The following is a 9171-nucleotide window of genomic DNA, read 5'->3' on the forward strand; positions in this document are numbered from 1 at the left end:
GAGGATCCGCAGATTTTGATATCCTTGGGGAGTCTTGGAACCAATCCCCCATAGACATTGAGGGACAACTGTGTATGCCACATAGAAATCAAAGCCAAGAGGAAACAATAAAGGAAAAAGAAGGGACCTTAAACACTCATTGGACCTCCCCATTAAGGTCCGTATTTCTCCAATGGAACACTTATCCAACCTGCCTTTCTCCACCCTGGCTCTCAGATTTCTGGTTTTTAGTTTTCTGAATTTCAGTGCTTAGTAAATTTCTATAGGCTTAGTGGTATGGTCATAAGCCCAGTGATGTCACTGTAATTCCTAGTAACTGGTCAACCCAAGTATAACCTGTGGAGTGTGGAACCTAGCATATGAGAGAAAACAAGTCATGTAACTGTGTGTGGTTGGTGATTTCCTCATGAATCAGCTGAAAGAAGGGCAGAGGCTCCATTCCAGATCAGGGAGAAAAGACAAATGAGCATCTACACCATTTATTAAAACTCAAGGGTAATAATAGGCTCATTCATTTGTGCTTAAGTATAAGATGGTTTATGATGCTAAGCTCTCTCCTGATTTTCTTTGGTTTTGGTTTTTGCAGATATCATTCCTCCAGCCCCTATACCACAAGGTAACTCTCTTTCATTGAAAGTGTAACCTATACAGTATTAAGTTGCAGAGAATTATTTTTGTAATTCATAAAAGCAGAATGGACTTCTGTGCGCACTGGCTACCACAGGGGCAATGGGTGGGATGGAGCCCTCACAAATGGGTGGGTTATCCACATCTGAGCTGAGCTGGTTTGCATGGCAGGAGACTTGGGGAGAGCATCAAAGAAATACAGGCTGCCCTCACTATACACATGCTACATGCATGTGTCAAATCCCATTTCCAATATCGCTTACAATCAATTGTAGGGTCGTGCCTGTCTGTCATGCATCTTCCATCCTCCCTCATGCCCTCTCAGTGGCACAGTCACTCACACCAGCCAAACCACAACTGTGTCTACACCAGCATGATCACTCCCCATTTAGTGACTCCACTGCTGAGCTTGATGGAATTCTGGATTCTACATCTGGAAAAATGCAACGTGCAAGCCTAGTGAAACCAACCATGGGTCTCTCATCTGCTTTTACAGGAGGAAGTAACTCTTGTGGAGGAGTGATTTCAAGTCTCTCAGGTTCCTTCTCCAGCCCTTGGTACCCTACAAACTACCCCACCAACTTGGAGTGCGTCTGGGTGATACACGTGGCTGAGAAATTCCACATAGAACTGATGATCCCAAGCCTGAAGTAAGCAACATTTTCTTTCTTTACTTTTAAGGCCAGTTTAGATTTGAATCCATACTTTCCTCAATGAGGTAGGCTTTTGTGGGATAAATCCTTTCACATTTTAGGCGAGAATTGCTCTGATCATCTGAGCTGTGGAGAGTTATTTAATCAGTTAGCTCAACTTCCTGTGCAATAAGAGAACACTCCATGGGCCTCCCTGACACCAGCCCGTTGAGCTGTAGCTGGGGCAACCCACACATGAAGACCTCACCCCATCACTTTTAACCAGTTCCGTTTGAGACACAGGCTTCCTCCTCCATCTGAACCCAGATCTGTTCTTCTTCATCCTCATGGTCTGATCTTCATTCTTCCCTCTGATGCTACACAAATCTGCTTCCTGTTCTCTTCAAGAATTTCTATCACGTCCTTACCAAGAATTTTCTTGTACAGATTAAACAGTTAATTCATTCCCCCATTATGCACCTTGTTCTTCCTACTTCTTTCTTTAACTGTCACTCATTTTTAAGGAATGTATCCTATTTTAATGTACATTTATATGCATGTAGGTGTATATACACACACACACATTTTCATATATGCATACATATACATGAGGAACATTTAAACAAAAATATTACTTTTCCTGATAATGTTTAACCCCGGTTTCATCTTGCTCTACTGCACCTAGGTCATTCTCTCTTCCTTACTTTGTCCCACAGTATGCCCCAGACCTCTGCCACTGCTTTCCATCTGTCGTCATTGACCACAGCATTTGAGAATCTGAATGGTTAAATGCTGCTTTTAAAAATGTAAAATGGTACTCGGTGGCGGAGGGGCGAACTTCATTGGCTTTACTTGGTAGCTACATATTTTTTGATAGAAAAGACATAAGCTAATGTCAGGGGACATTATGCAGTAGGAGCAAAATGCATTTATCATTCATTGATTCAACATACATTTATTCCTTTGTTCAACATACATTTATCTGTTGAAAGCAATGTGAGAAGAGTTGGTACCATGTATTTCAGATCTATGAAATTCACAGTTCTAATGTTTTAGGGCATAGTTTAATTTTATCACTTCTGGGAAATGGTGATTCCAAACAGTTGTAATGGCCCACATCCCCTGTAATGTCAAAGTTATTGTTCTAACATAAGTTTCGTACTATAATTTTGGAGTGCACAAATTAAGGAGTTTTTAAGGTGTTGCCCAAAACCAGACCATAGTGGCTGATTTCTGAATTTTGATGTTAAAAGCCTAGATTTATTGAAATTTGCTTTTTTGTTACTCAGAAGATAAAGTTGGTTATCATTTACTATTTATTGTTATTCCAGTTCTCAACTGGAAGTGATTATATACCCTTACAAGACATTTGGCTAGGTCTGGAGACATTTTTTACTGTTACAATTAGAAGGCACCACTGTCAGCTAGTGGGTGGAGGCCAGAGATGCAGCTAAGTGTCCTGCAGTGAACAAGACAGCTCCCCCAACTCCTTGTCCAGAAAAGAATTATCCAGCACCAAATATCAATACTGCTGAGATTGAAAAACCCCGACTTACCCTGACTCTTACTTTCATTTTTTAAAATAGTTCAGCACCTACAGGACCTTGCTTCACGCTCAATTTGTAAAAATTATATCCATATTTAAACTATTAGGTAGGGGCAAAAGTAACTGCAGGTTTTGACGTTACTCTTAATGCTGTTTTATTCTTGCTAATTAAAGCATGTCCTGTTTTCTGATGAAATGATTTCTCAGGTTGCAGTGTCAGCTGTTACTGCCACACTGTTGTCACCTTACACACAAATGTGATCACTTACTTTAAGAAAACAAAAATAAAAATGGGTTATTTTAAGGTACTTGGCTTTTACTTCACTGGAACAGATGTGTTCTGCAATAAGCAGGTTTTCAAATGCAGTATTTAGTTTGTGTACAACTGTAATTATGTCTATCTTGTATATATCATGCAATGAGAATGTATCATATAGGCATCAAAGGCTGCTTACTATTGTTTAAATCCAAATATGTATCTCTCATACTTGTATCATGTTAGATCAATGTTGATGTTCTTTCAACATGTATTTATTAAGCCTCTACTCAATTTATTGAGCAGGCCCTGGACTAGAATCAGACTCATAGTGCCAACCAAGAAAGACGAGATCTCTACCCTCACAGAGTTTATATTCTAGATGATGAGACAAATGGTACTCAGATAAACCAATGACTCAATGGACAATTTCAACTAGTGATAAATTGAAAAATGCTATGAAGAAAAAAATATACATACATGATAATAGGATAGAAAATAAAGAAGGAGAAGACAGCAACAGGTAGGATGGCCAGGGTCAGCTTCTCTGATCATCCAGGTTGGATGAAACATTCACGAAACACTTGGTTTGAACAGGGCAGGTCGGAGCATTGGTGGGAGGAGTCAACAGACCCTTGGAGCTCTTACAACTGTCACCATTTCTGCCTGCTCTGGGTCTCCTGGAGAGTTTAACTCAATGAGGCACTGTTAGATATTTGCCACCACCCCAGAGAGTGGCAAGATTTGAATTAAAGAGTTGGGGGACACTTGAGGAGACACTCGAGGTAGAGAGGAAGAGGATAGGAGAGACTGAAGGCCAGAATACCAGAAGTTACTGAAATAGACTGGGTAGAAGATGAGAACCCAACAGACCTGGGGCAGTCCCAGTAGGAAAGGACAGGAGGGCAGATTCAATAGGTCAAATGATGAGTAGGGGGTGTAGCAGTGATGACTGCAGTTTTTGGCGGGATGCTATGCAAAAGATGACTCTAAAACATCTTGCAGATTTCCTTGGAGATATTAATTTTGTCTTCATGTCCTCAGATTAGAGGACATCTATGGGTGTCCTTACGACTTTATCGAAGTGTTCGATGGACAACAGGCTGCCTCACTCTCCATGGGCAGGTTTTGTGCTGGGACAGAGCTCACGTTCCTTTCTTCTTCAAACATCATGACCACAGTGTTCAGAAGCAACGCCATGATCACCAACACAGGGTTTTATGCTCTGTACAACACCGTTCAGCAAGATGAAAGGGAGAACGGTAGGTACTCTAACACATACCATGGGAGGAAGTTAGATCTGATATATGATCTTTCCTTTTAAGAGAGAAGATGCTTTCTAAATCTGGCCCTCATTAATGACATCTGGAGTGACATCCATGCAGACACTAAAAGCTCCCCACCTCACTCTAACCCTGCTCTGCCACTCCCTGTCACTTTTCTCCACCAAAGCATCCTGGCTGAAGAAACAGATGGCCTGAAATCTCATAGTTTGCATCGACTGTGTGTGTAGATGGATCCAAAAGACAGCCCCCTTCTTCTCCAAAGAAGTAAAGGAAAATGCAATAGAAAAATCATTCTGGGACAAAACTATCTCAACTAGCCACCTGCTTCAAGCTGAATTTAATACAAAAACCACCTATAACACTTAGAAGCTGTGTGCCACATGCCGAGTGACATCAGAGGACAGGGCTGGGGCTATAAGGGCTGTGAGGTTTGGAACCAGGGCCCTGGGCAGAGCATGGCAGTGGGTCACAGGTGCCCGGATGGACCACCAAGCAGAAGCTCTGAGCCTTTTTTCATCCTGGCCCTCAGCTCCTGGCCCAGCTCCACGGCCCATTCAGGGGCCTTTTGGCTCCCTCCTTGCACTGAGGTGACTGGTGTATGTCCTTGAGATAAATGCGGTTCTGCCCTTTATGAGCTGACACTTACTCAGAGGCGAGACTCACACATACACCCAGGAAGAATTAGAAAACCAAACCAACTGCTCCATGCCAGGGGCCGTCCCTGGAGCCACAGTTTGCCAAAAACAAAAAAGATAGGAAGGAGGGAAAGGGAGGGAAGGGAAGGAAGGAAGGAAGGGAAAGAAGGAAGGAGAGTGAGGGAGAGGAAGGAAGGAGAGTGAGGGAGAGGAAGGAAGGAGAGAGAGGGAGAGGAAGGAAGGAGAGAGAGGGAGAGGAAGAGAGAGAGAAGGAAAAGAGAAGGAGGAGAGAGAAGGAAGAAGAAAGAATAAGAAGGAAGAAAAGAGATGACATCACGTCTGGCAACAGAACAGACACAAGCATGGTGATCCAGGGCATCTAGTAGTTGTAACCAAAGTAACTCAGGGCCATTTTTAGATGCCAGATTGTGTGCAGGTTCTCCGCCAAACAAGACGTGGTACCTTTCTGACTGAAGTAAGCAAGTCTACCTCTCTCTCAGGCTTAGGAGAACTGAAGAGAGATGAGCTACCCACACCTTCTATGTCTTCCACTGCCTCTCTGCCTTACCTAGGAGCATCTGCTGCTGTGAGTTACCCAACCTCAGGTAATTTGTGTTGTTTTGAATTGATGAGCTATAACTTGCCCCAGCAAAGCCCCCTAGGCAGTAGGGTAGTTATTTAGGGTCCAAATGCCCTGGGCTTATCTTCCCAGCCTCTTCATTTACTGTCTGTGAGGCCTCTAGCAAATCTCTGAGCTGCTTCCTGCCTACATTTTCTCCCCTGGATGAGGATGAGGAAATCCAGGGGGTTTCACTGTGTGAATATCCAGGGCAGCCCTTGCCCAGTAGTGGGCGGGGCATACTACTCGCAGAGTCAGCCACTATCTCTGACCCTCACCTCATCCAATGTCAAAGCCTGGCAGGGGTTTATCTCTGGGTACTGCCTTCTTCTTGACAGAATTGTTAAGAATGGAGAAGCTGAAAGCATCAAGTTATAGTTTGCTCCCAGCTCTATTTGGCCAGTAGTCTTTACACTTCCAATTCAATTCAGCCAGCAGCTCTTCCACGACAGGCCCTTAGAAGAGTAAAGTACAATATGCAGAGAGGAGCTAGGAAAGAGAGAAATGACCCCAAGCACTTAGAAGTAGCACCAGGGTAGCTTATACTGAACAACACAGGCCCCCAAAGGATGTTTTCTTGAATTTAAAACATATCTATTGGCCAGGTGCAGTGACTCACGCCTGTAATCCCAGCACTTTCGGAAGCTGAGGTGGGCTGATCACCTGAGGTCAGGAGTTTGAGACCAGCCTGGCCAACATGGTGAAACCCCGTCTCTACTAAAAATACAAAAATTAGCTGGGCTTGGTGGGGCATGTCTGTAATCCCAGCTACTCAGGAGGCTGAGGCAGGAAAATTGCTTGAACCCGGGAGATGGAGGTTGCAGTGAGCTGAGATCATGCCACTGCACTCCAGCCTGAGCAGCAGAGCAAGATTTCATCTCAAAAAAAATAAAAATAAAATTAAAATATATGTATTAAAAAAAAAAGATCAGCCACCAAGCCACGGTTTTCCTGAGCTTATATTTCCTAACATGCCAGTTGGGTGATGGAAGGAGTACTGCCCACAGAGAAAGGCCATGAGAAGGAAATCCCATTCAGAACCAGAAGGTGTCTGTAGATAATCCACAGAGCGGACAGCCCACCCACGATGGACTGAAAGTTCGATGTTTGACGTTTACCTAAGATGTATAATTTTCCCCTTTTGCAGCATCTTTTCCAAAGCCAACAGAGGTGCCCACATGGACAGGTAACCGTTTCTTCTCACTTCTCTGGCCCTCCCTCTATGCAGTTTGAATTCACAAACATCCCAGCACCGGGGAGGAAGCGTCCTGACTTCCACCCTCCTCCATGGCCTCAGGCTGCCGGAGGAACTGCTGGCAATGTCCAGGTTCACCTGGAAAATCTGTGATTGGAAAGTGACAGGAAAGAAGAGGCTGTGAGATGTAAGAATGGCTCTTGGGGGCTGGTTTGGAAGAGGCCCCCAGGAAGGCCAGGTTGCCTGCTCACCCCAAATCTCCACACATCCCCACCTGTGGGCTCACCTTATCTGTGTTGCAAGCACAACCAGCTTCTGCTCCCTTTTATAACATTGTCCTTTGAACATAGGAGGCAGCCTGCAATGATGGCTCTTTCCAATCCCTGGAATGTCTTCACACATAGGTTATGCCTGATCCCAGGAATAACAGAGATGGGAGGTATTGTTACCGTCTCTTGATCAACGTGTGCAAGGGCACATAGAAACTCACACCCACACACATATACACACACACATACACACACACACAGTGTATGCACGACAGCTTCTTGTGAAAAATCCAACACACCCTGTGAATGTCAGAAACCAAGACTTCACCACACACAGGGAAAGAACAGTTATGCCTTTGGGCAGGCCAGGTCCAGCCAATGGCGAGGAACAACCATTTCTTAACCAATCACAAAAAATACACAGAGTAGTACCAAGGCAAACATGAACAAAATGAAATAAAGGAGGGAGTGGGATTCATTATCCTCAATTATCAGTGCACAATTCCCAGGAAATTGTGGCTTCTCTGGTGGCCTTTGTGGATGTGACTTCATGAGGTTGTTCTTTGGAATGTCTGCAAGGTCTGGGACTGCGGCTGGTGAACGGGTCCAGCAGATGTGAGGGCCGAGTCGAGGTCTACCATGCCAATGCCTGGGGCACCGTGTGTGATGACAGCTGGTCTATAGAGGATGCCCACGTGGTCTGCAGGCAGCTGGGCTGTGGCCTGGCCGTGTCTGCCCTCCCAGGAGCCAGCTTCAGCCCTGGATCAGGCAGCATCCTCCTTGATGACGTCAACTGCACGGGAAGGGAGTCCTCCCTGGGGCAGTGCCCTCACAGAGGTTGGTACACCCACAACTGTGGGCACCATGAAGATGCTGGCGTCATCTGCTTAGGTGAGTGAAGGTCCGCCCTGGGCCAGTCTTGCAGCTGCCTGGACCAAGCCCGAGATCCTCAGATAGAGTCTGAAAATGCCTCTGTGCCTTAAACCTTTCCCCACATGCAGAACAGTGGATTTCTGCTCAGACTCTGGAAAATATGACCAGCTGTTCAATACATGGTAAGGTCCCATTCAACTTGAGTACCTGCAAAGTTCAATTAATTGTAAAAGAAAGAAAATCATGGCATTTATTCCACGGAGTTATTGGGAGGATTAATTGAGGCAACCCATGTAGAACATTTAGTCAAGCATCAGACAAACCATAAATACACAAAAATATTACCATTTTGTTGGTGTTTTAGTTACTAAGGCAAATTCTATCAGCATCACTACCTCAAAGTTTGTAGCCAGGTTAGACATCCCACAACCTACACCTGGCTGTATAAACCCAGAGGGGAGAGGCCTGGATGCTTAAGACTGGTTGTTTATACCCAGCTTCCTTGAGTCACATTTAAACTGAAACAATGATCTTTAAACCACTCTGCCATTCCAATTTCTATTATTAAACCACCCTCATTTCCTTTATCTCTGCAGATTCTGCAGCTGCTGGACATCCAGGTATCTATGAGTTTGTGTCCATTTTATTTGCTGACTGGTGGCTAGCCGTCACCTCTAATTGGTCTCCCAACCCCAGCCTATGCTGGGTCTCCCTTATGAGCTTTAACTTTCCTTGACAATGCTCTGAGCTCCAGACCCTTTCACCCTCCCAGAAGGTGAAGACCCAGGGCTGTTTCCCATTCCCTTGGCTGGATGTCAGCAGGTTGATGTGTCATCCCTTCCACAGATGAGAGCATTTCAACAGGACTCTAAGATACTTGAACCAAAGGGTTGGTTCATGCAACAGACGCCATGACAATCCAGAGAAGGCAGGCGGCCATAGGGGAAGGAGACCTGGGGCAGAAGGGCCTGGGGGCAGGAGAGCCTGGGGCAGGAGAGCCTGGGGGCAGGAAGGCCTGGGGGCAGGAGACCCTGTGGGCAAAAGGGCTGGGGGCAGGAGGGACTGGGGGCAGGAGGGACTGGGGGCAGGAGACCCTGGGGGCAGGAGACCCTGGGGGCAGGAGAGCCTGGGGGCAGGAAGGGCTGGGGGCAGGAGGGCCTGGGGGCAGGAAGGGCTTGGGGGCAGGAGGGCCTGGGGGCAGGAGAGCCTGGGGGCAGGAAGGGCTGGGAGCAG

At 45.6% G+C, this 9171-nt stretch overlaps 1 pseudogene across 1 annotated transcript in view, besides 1 other annotated feature; it reads left to right on the plus strand.

The window, feature by feature from the left end:
- DMBT1L1 (deleted in malignant brain tumors 1 like 1 (pseudogene)) overlaps positions 1 to 6482 on the plus strand; it is a 40952-nt pseudogene extending 34470 nt beyond the window's left edge. Inside the window, exons 23-28 of the transcript NR_003570.2 lie at positions 587 to 616; positions 1124 to 1277; positions 3368 to 3584; positions 4106 to 4323; positions 5483 to 5587; positions 6207 to 6482. The product of NR_003570.2 is annotated as a deleted in malignant brain tumors 1 like 1 (pseudogene) (transcript). The remainder of the gene's footprint in view (positions 1 to 586; positions 617 to 1123; positions 1278 to 3367; positions 3585 to 4105; positions 4324 to 5482; positions 5588 to 6206) is intronic.
- Positions 5715 to 6914: an enhancer, noted in NCBI's record as "CDK7 strongly-dependent group 2 enhancer chr10:124556394-124557593 (GRCh37/hg19 assembly coordinates)". NCBI's record gives its function as "activates an origin of replication core promoter dependent on BRD2, BRD4, P300/CBP, MED14 and CDK7 cofactors, with strong dependence on CDK7, by STARR-seq in HCT116 cells {active_cell/tissue: HCT116}" and the evidence as "EXISTENCE:reporter gene assay evidence [ECO:0000049][PMID:35650434]".

The sequence above is a fragment of the Homo sapiens genome, chromosome 10 (genome assembly GCF_000001405.40).
Source record: "Homo sapiens chromosome 10, GRCh38.p14 Primary Assembly".
NCBI lineage: Eukaryota > Metazoa > Chordata > Mammalia > Primates > Hominidae > Homo > Homo sapiens.